Source organism: Homo sapiens, chromosome 3 (genome assembly GCF_000001405.40).
Source record: "Homo sapiens chromosome 3, GRCh38.p14 Primary Assembly".
Classification (NCBI taxonomy): domain Eukaryota; kingdom Metazoa; phylum Chordata; class Mammalia; order Primates; family Hominidae; genus Homo; species Homo sapiens.
In genome coordinates this window covers 183,191,479-183,204,194 of record NC_000003.12, presented here as the reverse complement: position 1 = coordinate 183,204,194, position 12,716 = coordinate 183,191,479, and the positions used below count along the sequence as shown (strand labels likewise).

The following is a 12,716-nucleotide window of genomic DNA, read 5'->3' as shown; positions in this document are numbered from 1 at the left end:
TTTACTCTCTTGATAGTGTTCTTTGCAAAGAGTTTATAGTTTTAACTCTTACAGTTAAGCCTTTGACTCATTCCGAGTTAATTTTTGTATATGATGTGAATTAGGGGCCCAAGTTCCTTTTTTTACATGTGGATATCCATTGTCCTAGAACCATTGATTGAAAAGACTATTCTTTCCCCACTTTGAATGGTCTTGGCATCTTTGTTGAAGATAAATTGGCTTTAGGTATAGAATTCCTTGTTGACCCTCTTTTTCTTTAAGCACTTTGAATATGTCATCCCATTGCCTTCTCAACTCTGTGATTTCTGATAGAAATCAGCTGTTAATCTTATTGAAGAGTCCTTCTATGTGCTTGCTGCTTTCAAGATAATTTCATTGTCTTTGTTGACAGTTTGATTATGTTATCTCTAGGTGTGGATCTTGATCTCTTTGAATTTATATTTCTTGGAGTTTATAGACTTTCTTGAAGGTATAGATTAATGTTTTCATCAGATTTGGGAAATGTTCAGCCATTGCTTCTTTAAATATTATTTTAGCCCATTTATCCCTCTCTCCTTCTGAGACTGCCATTATGCGTCATTAGCGTGCTTGAAGGTATCTCACAGTCTCTGAGGCTCTATTCATTTTTCCTTCATTCCTCTTTCTTTCTCTTCCTCAGACTGGATAGATTCAATTGACCTATTTCTGAGTTCTCTAATTCTTTCTTCTGCCTGCTCAGATCTGCTATTGAGCCAGCCACTCTAGTGAATTTCTCATTCAATTATTATACTTTTGAAATCTAGAATTTCTGTTTCGTCCTTTAAAACAAATCTTTATATTTTCTATTTAATGAGGATTTGTTCTTGTGCTTTCCTTTAGTCTTTATATATGATTTCCTTTAACTTTTTGAACATGTAAAAATAGTTAAAGTATTGGTCTAGTAAAGTCAGTATCTTGGCTTCCTCAGGAACAGTTTTTTCTTTTTTCTTTTTTTTTCTTTTTTGAGACAGAGTCTTGCTCTGTAGCCCAGGCTGGAGTGCAATGGCATGATCTCAGCTCACTGCAACCTCCGCCTCCTGGGTTCAAGCAATTCTTCTGCCTCAGCCTCCCGAGTAGCTGGGATTACAGGTGCACGCCACCATGCCTGGCTAAATTTGTATTTTTCTTTTAGTAGAGATGGGGTTTCAACATGTTGGTCAGGCTGGTCTCAAACTCCTGACCTCTGGTGATCTGCCTGCCTTGGCCTCCCAAAGTGCTGGGATTACAGGCATGAGCCACTGCACCTGGCCTAGGAACAGTTTGTATTGACTGGTTTTTCTTTTTCCCTGGGTATGGACTGCATTTTCTTATTTCTTTACATGTCTCATTATTTTCTGTTAAAATTGCACATTTTAAATAACATAATGTAGCAACTCTGGAAATTGGACCTTCCCACCTCTACTGTTTGTTGGTGTTGCTGTTTATTGTTGTTTGTTATAGTGACTTTTCTAAACTAATTCTGTGAAGTCTGTATTTATGTGCAGCCATTGAAGCCTCTGTTCAGTTAGCTTAGTGATCTAAATACTAATGACATGACAGAGATTTCTTTAAACACCTGAAAGCAGTAAGTCTTCTAGTCTTTGCCAAGGGGCTCTGTGTGCACATTAGGGCACACCTTCACACTCAGCCTGGCACTTGACAGTTCTAGCCTAGCTTTCACTTTCTGTTTGTGCAGATCATCAAGATCAGCCAGAGGTAAGATCGTGGGGCCTTCGCAGATCTGTCCTGAACATGTTCACAGGAAATGTGTGCATGGTCTTCTAGAGTCTCATAAATATTTTGGAGCCTTTACAACCCTCTATGAGCATCTTATTCCTGAGCATTTCATTTTAAACCTTCTGATTAGCCCATGTTTGCCCCACTGTTAGCCAATACCTCGAGCAACCAAGAAGTTAAACAATTGCCTGTAATCATTTTCTACAAAGGCCTTTGGGGAAAAGACTTTTCACATTGGGCAAGTTCTGAGTCAGGCCTAATAAAGACAGACTTGCAGGTCAGGTATTCCTAGAAACCCGTGGACAGATCAAATAATGATAATTCTCTAAGAATGAGGCTCCATAGTTCCCCCATTCCTGTTCTGCCCCTCCCATGGCTGCCAGACTGCTGATTTTCACTATCATTGCAGGCTGTTCATTTCTAAGGCTACCACCAAGGAAGGGGAGGATAGAAATAGGGCAAGTTAAAAAGCTCATTAGTCATACTGAGACACAGCCATTTTCCTTGAATAAATGCTCTCCAGATTGCTGCAAGCCATCATTTAATTTCCAGTGTTCTCCGAAGACAAAAACCACATGATTATCTCAATAGATGCAGTAAAGGTCTTCAACAAAATTCAACAGCCCTTCATGCTAAAAACTCTCAATAAACTAGGTATTGATGGGACGTATCTCAAAATAATGAGAACTATTTATGACAAACCCACAGCCAATATCATACTGAATGGGCAAAAACTGGAAGTATTCCCTTTGAAACCTGGCAGAAGACAGGGATGCCCTCTCTCACCACTCCTACTCAACATAGTGTTGGAAGTTCTGGCCAGGGCAATCAGGCAGGAGAAAGAAATAAAGGGTATTGAATTAGGAAAAGAGAAAGTCAAATTGTCAAATTGCAGATGACATGATTGTATATTTAGAAAACCCCATCGTCTCAGCCCAAAATCTCCTTAAGCTGATAAGCAACTTCAGCAAAGTCTCAGTATACAAAATCAATGTGCAAAAATTACAAGCATTCCTATACACCAATAACAGACAAACAGAGAGCCAAATCATGAGTGAACTCCCATTCACAATTGCTTCAAAGAGAATAAAATACCTAGGAATCCAACTTACAAGGGATGTGAAGGACCTCTTCAAGGAGAACTACAAACCACTGCTCAACAAAATAAAAGAGGACACAAACCAATGGAAGAACATTCCATGCTCATGGATAGGAAGAATCAATATCGTGAAAATGGCCATACTGCCCAAGGTAATTTATAGATTCAATGCCATCCCCATCAAGCTACCAATGACTTTCTTCACAGAATTGGAAAAAAACTACTTTAAAGTTCATATGGAACCAAAAAAGAGCTTGCATTGTCAAGATAATCCTAAGCCAAAAGAACAAAGCTGGAGGCATCACGCTACCTGACTTCAAACTATACTACAAGGCTACAGTAATCAAAACAGCATGGTACTGGTACCAAAAACAGAGATATAGACCAATGGAACAGAACAGAGCCCTCAGAAATAATATCATACATCTACAACCATCTGATCTTTGACAAACCTGACAAAAACAAGAAATAGGGAAAGGATTCCCTATTTAATAAATAGTGCTGGGAAAACTGGCTAGCCATATGTAGAAAGCTGAAACTGGATCCCTTCCTTACACCTTATACAAAAATGAATTCAAGATGGATTAAAGACTTAAATGTTAGACCTAAAACCATAAAAACCCTAGAAGAAAACCTAGGCAATACCATTCAGGCCATAGGCATGGGCAAGGACTTCATGACTAAAACACCAAAAGCAATGGCAACAAAAGCCAAAATTGACAAGTGGGATCTAATTAAACTAAAGAGTTTCTGCGCAGCAAAAGAAACTACCATCAGAGTGAACAGGCAACTTACAGAATGGGAGAAAATGTTTACAATCTACCCATCTGACAAAGGGCTAATATCCAGAATCTACAAAGAACTTAAACAAATTTACAAGAAAAAAATCAACCCCATCAAAAAGTGGGCAAAAGATATGAACGGTCACTTCTCAAAAGAAGACATTTATGCAGCCAACAGACACATGAAAAAATGCTCATCATCACTGGCCATCAGAGAAATGCAAATCAAAACCACAATGAGATAACATCTCACACCAGTTAGAAAGGCAATCTTTAAAAAGTCAGGAAACAACAGGTGCTGGAGAGGATGTGGAGAAATAGGAACACTTTTACACTGTTGGTGGGACTGTAAATTAGTTCAACCATTGTGGAAGACAGTGTGGCGATTCCTCAAAGATCTAGAACTACAAATATCGTTTGACCCAGCCATCCCATTACTGGGTATATACCCAAAGGATTATAAATCATGCTGCTATAAAGATACATGCACACGTATGTTTATTGCAGCACTATTCACAATAGCAAAGACTTGGAACCAACCCAAATGTCCATCAATGATAGACTGGATTAAGAAAATGTGGCACATATACACCATGGAATACTATGCAGCCATAAAAAACAATGAGTTCATGTCCTTTGTAGGGACATGGTGAAGCTGGAAACCATCATTCTGAGCAAACTATCGCAAGGACAGAAAACCAAACACCGTGTGTTCTCACTCATAGGTGGGAACTGAACAATGAGAACACTTGGTCACAGGGTAGGGAACATCACACACCAGGGCCTGTGGTGGGGTGGGGGGAGGGGGAAGGGATAGATAGCATTAGGGGATATACATAATGCAAATGATGAGTTAATGGGTGCAGCACACCAACATGGCACATGTATACATATGTAACAAACCTGCATGTTGTGCACACGTACCCTAGAACTTAAAGTATAATAAAAAAAAAAAAAAGGAAAAAAAAATTTCGATATTCTGAAAATAAATTTTCTAACCATTTTTGGCCAGTTTTTTCCATGCTTTCACAAAGAAGAGAATTTGGGGACGGGTTTTTTCTCCACCATTTTCACTGATGTCACACACTGTACTCCTTTCAACAATTACAAATCATCTTTAAGCAGGCTTTATCCTTTCACTTTGTTTGCAGGGATATTTGGTGGGAAAATCCACAGCGAGCTTTATCAATTGAGTTCTGACCTTCCCCTCAGGTAATGTTACTAGGGTGAAGAAATGCCAGTTTCATGTGGAAAGTCTATCTTCCATCATTTATACTGGCAGTGGTTTGCATTTTGGGTAAGAAAAATCACATAAAAATGAAAAGATAACTTTTTTCTTTAGAGATAGCAGGAATGCAACTGGCTCACACTTTTTCTAGGTCTTCTATGATCATCAGCTGCTCAGGAACGTGCAAAGCTGGGTGTGCATCATAAGATAAGGGAAAAGGTAAACCAAGCAGTGTAACTGGAAAGCCACCACATCAGTTTTCTGTCACAAAAACCAAGCAACATAAGTTCTTGATTTAAACTGTAGGTAACTGCCAGGAACTAGTAACAATATTATGTCATTGATTTTACTTTGTATACAGATAAGATGGGAAAAAAACTATGGTTTACTTTTGTTTTACAACTATTAATATTATGTTAAATATATGTCATGGTAATTGAGTAGGAGTGTCCTAGAGGCTTAACACAGAATGATATGGCAACTCTAGTAGAAAAAGTCACTTGTTCCCTGCAGAAACAACATTCTAGTCACAAGCTTGTTTAGAAATCCTTACTCACTAGGTCAGTGTTTCTCAAAGGGTGGTTTAAGGACCACCTGCATTCAAATTATTTGAAGGGCTTGCTACAAATGCAGATTTCTAGGTTCCACCCCAGAACTATAGAATAGCTAGGGTTAGTCCTGGGGACATACATTTTAGCTTATTAAGGTTTCTAGGTAGAGACCTTTTACTACAATTTTTAAAACTCCTTTACTGAGGTATAATGACACGATAAACCACACATATTTAAAGTGTACAATCTGATAAGTTTTGACATCTGTATACATCTGTAAGGCATCACCACAGTAAGGATAATGAACATGCCTATCACCGCCAAAGGTTTGTTCACACTGCTTTGCATTCCCTTTCTCCTGCCCCTCCCTCACCCACCCCAGGTGACCACCAATCTCCTTTCTGTCACTATAGGTTAGTTTGCATTTTCTAGAATTTCATAAGAGATAATACACTATGTACTTTTTTTTTTGGTCTGGCTTCTCTCCTCTGCATAATTATTCTGAGATTCATCTATTTGGATTTTGTAAACAATAGTACATATTTTGGTTGTTGCTGAGTAGTATTTCATTGTTTGGCTAGACCCCGTTTTCTTTATCCATTTACTTGTTAATGAACATCCGATTTGTTTCTGCTTTGGGGCTATTTTGAATAATGCTGCTATGAACATGCAAGTACAAGTCTTTGTGTGGACATGTGTTTTCATTTCTCTTGGGTAAATACCTAAGAGTGTAATGGTTAGGCCATATGGTAGGTGTATGTTTAATTTTTTAGGAAATTTCTAAATAGTTTCCAAAGTGATTATAGTATCTTCCATTCCCATAGTAATGTATGAGAGTTCCACTTGTGCCATGTCCTCACCAATACTTGGTATTGTCAGTCTTTTAAATTTTCAGATTTCTAATAGGGGCATAGTGGTATGTCATTAGGTTTTAATTTGCTTTTCCCTAGTAACTAATGGTTGAGCATCTCTTTATGTGCTTCTTTGCCATCTTTATCTCTTCTTTGGTGAAGTGTCTGTTCAAATCTTTTGCTCATTGTTTTCTTATTATTGACTTTTGAGAGTTTTTATGTATATCCTAGATATATGTCCTTTTAATGCTTTGTAAATATTTTCTTCTAGTGTGTGGCATCTTTTTCTCTTAAGAGTGACTTTTGAAGAGCAAAAGACTTTAATTCTTATAATATTTAATTTTAAAAACTGTATGTATCATGTTTTCGGTATCCTGCCTAAGAAATCGTTATCTAAAAGCCATAAAGATTTTCTCCCTGTGTTTTCTTCCAGAAGTTTTATAGTTTTACATTTAGGTCTCTGATCCATTTTGAGTATTTGTTTGTTTGTTTGTTTGTTTCTGTTTTTGATTTGTATGTGGTGTGAGGTATGGATCAAAGTTCAGTCCTTTGCATACTGATGTTCTAGTTTTTCCATTGCCAGTTGTTAAAAACACTATTCTTTCTCCAATTGATGATTTATGTAAGTGCATCTATTTCTGGATGCCTGATTCTTTTCCATTGATCTATTTGTCTACCTTGACATCAGTCCCTCACTATCTTGGTTACTGCTGCTTTCTAATAAGTCTTAAAATGAGGTAGTTAGAGTCCTATAATTTTGTTCTTCCTTTTTAAAGTTGTTTTGATTATTCTGTGTCCTTTATACTTCTATATATATTTTAGAATCTGCTTGCCAACTTCTCAAAAAACCTTATTGAGATTTTGATTAGGATTATGTAAAATCTCTAGAACAATTTGGTGAGAATTGACTTCTTAACAATATTAAGCTTAATCTAAAATTTATATTTTAACTGACTCCCCTGCTGCCTTCCTGGCCCTGCAAAAAAAGACAAGTTTGTTATGAAGATATGACACTTATTCAGTTGACAATTCGGAAAGAGATTTCTCAAGCCCTCCTTAAGGCCTGAACTGTGCTTTATAGGTTGTGACAGGAATGCAAAAATCTAGATAAGAAGCAAAACCAGGACCCAGCACGTGGTTTAGATAAAAAGAAAACACTACTGAACTGAAAGGCCCAGAGGTGTTGTGCCAGCCCCTTCCTTTTACAGATGTGCAAGCAGAGGGTCAATTTTACATAACTTATCCGCAGCAGAACTGAGTCTCCTGAGCCTGGTGCACCAAGTAGGCTCTGATGAAATGTCTCTGTGAGTGATGCAAATGGCAAGGGCTTTAAGAATTTAGAGAGGGCCCACAGTGGATGGTGAGTGAGCGGGAACCAGGGCCCTGGGCTGAACCAGGAACAGAATGCAAACTCAGGCTGTCTGGATACCCTTGAGGGTATCCGGGCAATGTTGAGAAGATGGTGTCCCAGGTTCCAAGATCAGGAATATCAGGACTGTCAGTACCTTACGCCTGCCGAGCACTTTACAAAGCTCTGACATATAAACATTACCACCCAGATTCATTTTTACACCATCCTACAACACCTTTCAACCTTTGTGGATTGTTAAGCATAATAACCCTGTACACTGGCCAAAGAATACAGTGACCTTAGGGCCATGGGTGAGAGGAATGACACTGGGAGCCAATGAGGGATGTAGAGAGAGGGCCTCTCGGAGGTAACCAGACAGAAGAGGACATTGTATCCAGGTGTTATGGAGTCAGCTAGGGCTTGGGCAGGGAAGAGAAGAGCATCACTGATGGGTGAGACACAGCAGCACAAGAAGCCGAGGAGGGAGGCAGGCACTGAGGTTTGGGACAAGCTCCTCAGCTGTGGCATGACTGCCTGTGATCTAGAGGTGAAGGGAGACTGCGGGGAAAGATCAGGCCCCAGCCAGAAGAGTGCAGGGGCAGGCAGCAGGGTGGGTGGGAAACAAGGCAAAGCCTCAGTCCCGGCAGAAATCAAGGCCACGGTCCCATCCTAGCAACTGGGCAACATGTGGCAGTCACATCGGTAGTAAAAGGTGGGCCCAGGAACCTTGAAAATCACAGAGGTGCCTCGAAGTGAGCACATTCAGTGACGATCTGAGCCTAGCCTGGGAGAGTCAGGTATAGGGTGAAAGGAAAAAGATTGAGATGGCCTCAAATATCGGGCCGAGGAATTTGGCTTTTATGCTGTGGGAGGCAGTGGGGGGCCTCTGGAGGTTGAGATCTGGTGTTATTCTCATACCTGGGACAACACTTTAGTAAAGAATGTGATTCTTATCGCTCTCCCAGGGACTCATGATTTTTTCCCTCATCAAGTCACATAATTTGGGCTCACATGGAAAAAATGAGCATTTGAGCACTGTTTATTCCTTAATTCAGTATTAATGGAGCTAACAGTAGAAACTTGGACAGACCCAGAACCAATGCATGCCAGAAACTCAGCAGGATGGGGTAGAGACGTTGGGGAGGATGCCAGGACCACGTGAGCCCAGGGACTGTAGCAGCGTTTTCTGAATTCCTGGGAAAATATGATCAAGACCTACACACCTTTATATATTTTTATAGTATTCTCTTTATGCATATATGTGTATTTAAAAATCACTATGTAAAATCAATTCAAATTAGCTTAAATTTGAGAGTGCTGTTTTTTGTTTTTTAAAATTTTAGACCAAGGAAATCCACAGTTTGAAATGAGCACGAGGTGAGTACTGATTTTTTTATTTTAAAGGCATGTCAAATGCTTTGGATGTTTCATATTGAGTCCATGTCATTGCTTTTATTGCTTTTCTTCCCCCAACACTTGGCTTATTACAAGGGATTTCCAATTTTTAAAAAATATTGGCTGGGCGCAGTGGCTCACGCCTGTAATCTCAGCACTTTGGGAGGCCAAGGCAGATGGATCGCTTGAGCCCAGGAGTTTGAGACCAGCCTGGGCAACATGGTGAAACCCTGTCTCTAACAAAAAAAAATACAAAAATTAGCCTAGGTGGTGGCGTGCTTGTAGTCCCAGCTACTCAGGAGGCTGAGGTGGGAGGATCACTTGAGCCCAGGAGGTCAAAGCTGCAGTGAGCCTAGATCACATCACTGCACTCTAGCCTCTGTGACAGAGCGAGAGCCTATCTCAAAAATAAATAAGTGCATAAATACATGAATAGATATAAAAAATTAAATAATAAATCAGTTCGCAACCCCACTGCTAGCCTAGGATATTAAATCAGTTCCCAACCCCACTGCTAGCTAGGATATCTTTTCTGGTGCATGCTTGCTGTATTGCCAGTTGAGGTAGATCTGCCAGTTCGAAACCTCCCCTAATTGCCCTTGCTTTTGGCTGTTTTCTTGAGCTTTCTATTCCATTCCTATTTTCACAAGGCTGCCCTGCCTCCTACTTTACTGAGTGGGCAAACGCACCCTCTGATGTTACCTCCTCCGGCTTCCCCTCTGGCTGCTGAGTTCCACTTAGAACTCTCCTGATCATCTTCCTTTCTTTATTCCCCCTTGTCTGGGAGGAAGATGTGCTCACACTTCTTTCAGGGTTAAGTCCTCACTGGTGCTCCTTGCCTCATCTATTACTGCGACTTACAATCTTCGTCTATAATTCCTCTTCCTGTCCAAAGCACTCAGGGATACTCAATATATGTTTGTTGAAAACGCCTGTCTACTGTGATCCAGTTCTGATACAGTAGTCTGCTTAGTTTTTCTAAGCTCATTTAGCCTGATCCTCATGGAACCCCCGCTAGACCCTAACCCAGAAAGATGAGAGAAGTGGAAAAGGTGAGGGCTCTAGAAAGCAGCTGTTTCTCCCCCTCCTCTCTGCCCCCACACTCTTACGGAGTACTCTATTGCAGCATTTAATAAGCTATAATTTTATGATGTGTTTACATTTTCTCCCTATGAGACCATGAATTCCTCTAGGGCATGGAGTTTGTCTTATTAGTTTTAGCTTCCCTCAGGCCTCATCTACCAGGGCCAGGCACTTTTGTAGGTGCTCAGTAAATATTTAGTGAATAAACAAATGAAAGCACTCATTGAATAATCAGATGAGGCCAGCAAACCACTCTGCAAGCAAGGCCGGGGGTGATGAGGTTTAGCTCAGGCATATCTTATTCCTCTTGGACCTCCAATGCTTAGTAGGTGTTTATTCACTGGATTCGTCTAACCCAAAAGAGTTACTATAATAGTTGGCATTTTGGGTCAGTAAAGAGGAAGGAGGGAGCTGTAGTGAGCCAGTGAAAACATTTTTGAGAAGACAAAGGGGATTATTCCTCCTCATCTCTTCCCCCTTTAAGATTTGTAGCCATGTAATCCCAGCACTTTGGGAGGCCAAGGCGGGCGGATCACAAGGTCAAGAGATCAAGACCATCCTGGCCAACATGGTGAAACCTCGTCTCTACTAAAAATACAAAAATTAGCTGGGTGTGGTGGCACACGCATGTAGTCCCAGCTACTTGGGAGGCTGAGGCAGGAGAATGGCGTCAACCCAGGTGGCAGAGCTTGCAGTGAGCCAAGATTGCGCCACTGCACTCCAGCCTGGGCAACAGAGCGAGACTCTGTCTCAAAAAAAAAAAGAAAGAAAAAGAAAAAAAGATTTGCAGCCAATTAGATGTTTGCTGTGTAATCCAACAAGAAGTGTCCTTTGGACATTTCCTTACTGCGTATCACCTACTGACCTGAGGCAGGTCTTCAACTACAGGTGAGGGAGGAGCAGCAGGTCCTCGAGACCTAGACCAGAGATACACTAGGTGGGCCAGCGTTACTCCAACTGGTGGGGGAGGGATGCGTGTGTCATTCCTTCCAGTGACTCAATATTCATGTTTATTTCTCTAAAGCAAAGGCAGTGGAGCAGGATCCGGACCATGGATTAAAAATATGGAAAGAGCTACCACTAGCAAGGAAGACCCGGCCTCCAGCACAGGAGGGATTAAAGGTAGGGAGGGTCCCATGGGAGAGTGGAGCACAGAAGCAGTGGGGTGATGCCAGCTGCTTAGATGCTAAGGAAGACATCACCTAGGGCCCAGCCCTTCTTTAGTTAAATGAGGGAGAAAAAAGAAAGCATTTTACCACCATGTGGTTTAAAATCAATTTCCTGCTATTCATTTGTGTAGAGCTAATGGGGCAGAATTAACATGAAGGGCAAATGTCTCACATTGAGAAGTACAGGAGCACCCCCTTATCCACTGTTTCACTTTCCAGGTTTTAGTTACTCTTAGTCAACTGCTGTCCAAATATCAAATGGAAAAATTACAGAAATAAACAATCGATGAGTTTTAAATGATATGCCATTCTGAGTAGTGCGATGAAATCTGGCGCCTTCCGCTGTGTCTTGCTTGGTACACGAATTATCCCCTTGTCCAGGGTGTCCCTGCTGTCTGTGCTCCCCACCCCGCCAGCCTTAGTCACTTATAGCCATCTTGGTGATTAAATCGACTGTTAGGATCACAGTGTTTGTGTTCAAGTGACTCTTATTTTACTTAATAATGGCCCCAAGGCCAAGCACGGTGGCTCACGCCTATAATCCCAGCACTTTGGGAGGCCGAGGTGGGTGGATCACCTGAGGTCAGGAGTTTAAGACCAGCCTGGCCAAGATGGTGAAACCTTGTCTCTACTAAAAATACAAAAATCAGCCGGGCGTGGTGGTGTGCACCTGTAATTCTAGCTACTCCGGAGTTTGAGGCAGAGAATTGCTTGAACCTGGGAGGCGGAGGTTGCAGTGAGCGAGATGGTGCCACTGCACTCCAGCCTGGCCGACAGAGTGAGACTCTGTCTGAAAAAATAAATAAATAAATAAAATACTCATGCCTGTAATCCCGGCACTTTGGGAGGCTGAGGCGGGAGGATCACGAGGTCAGGAGATCGAGATCACCCTGGCTAACACAGTGAAACCCCATCTCTACTAAAAATACAAAAAAAAAAAAAAATTAGCTGCGCTTGGTGGTGGGCGCCTGTAGTCCCAGCTACTCGGGAGGCTGAGGCAGGAGAATGGCGTCAACCTGGGAGGCGGAGCTTGCAGTGAGCCGAGATCACGCCACTGCACTCCAGCCTGGGCAACAGAGCGAGACTCTGTCTCAAAAAAATAAATAAAATAAATAAATAAATAAACAAACAATGGCCCCAAAGCACAGTCGTGATGCTGGAAATTCAGATATGCCAAAGAGAAGCCGTCAAATGCTTCCTTTAAGTGAAAAGGTGAAAGTTGATTTAACAAGAAAGAAAAAAAATCACACACCGAGGTTGCTAAGATCTATGGTAAGAAGGAATCATCTGTCCATGACATTGTGAAGAAGGAGAAAGAAATTTGTACTCATTTTGCTGTCGCATCTCAAACTGCCAAAGTTACGGCAGCAGCACTAAGATGAAAAAGGCGTTAAACCGGTGGTGGTGGAAGGCGAATAGAAACATATTCCCACTGATGGCAGTCAAGTTTGGCACTCTCTGCGGTTTCGGGCA

The 12,716-nt window shown here is 41.2% G+C and overlaps 1 protein-coding gene across 4 annotated transcripts in view; it reads left to right on the top strand.

The window, feature by feature from the left end:
• The window catches only part of MCF2L2 (MCF.2 cell line derived transforming sequence-like 2), a 250,579-nt gene that overhangs the window by 224,425 nt on the left and 13,438 nt on the right, over positions 1-12,716 (top strand). For 3 of the 4 annotated variants that reach the window (NM_015078.4, XM_011512585.3, XM_047447751.1), the window contains 2 exons: positions 8,940-8,973; positions 11,099-11,196. In NM_015078.4, coding sequence (NP_055893.4) covers positions 8,940-8,973; positions 11,099-11,196 — 132 coding nt within the window. Of the gene's footprint in view, positions 1-4,766; positions 6,093-8,939; positions 8,974-11,098; positions 11,197-12,716 lie in introns of those variants that run through there. The other variant, XM_017005943.3, reaches the window with a different exon arrangement.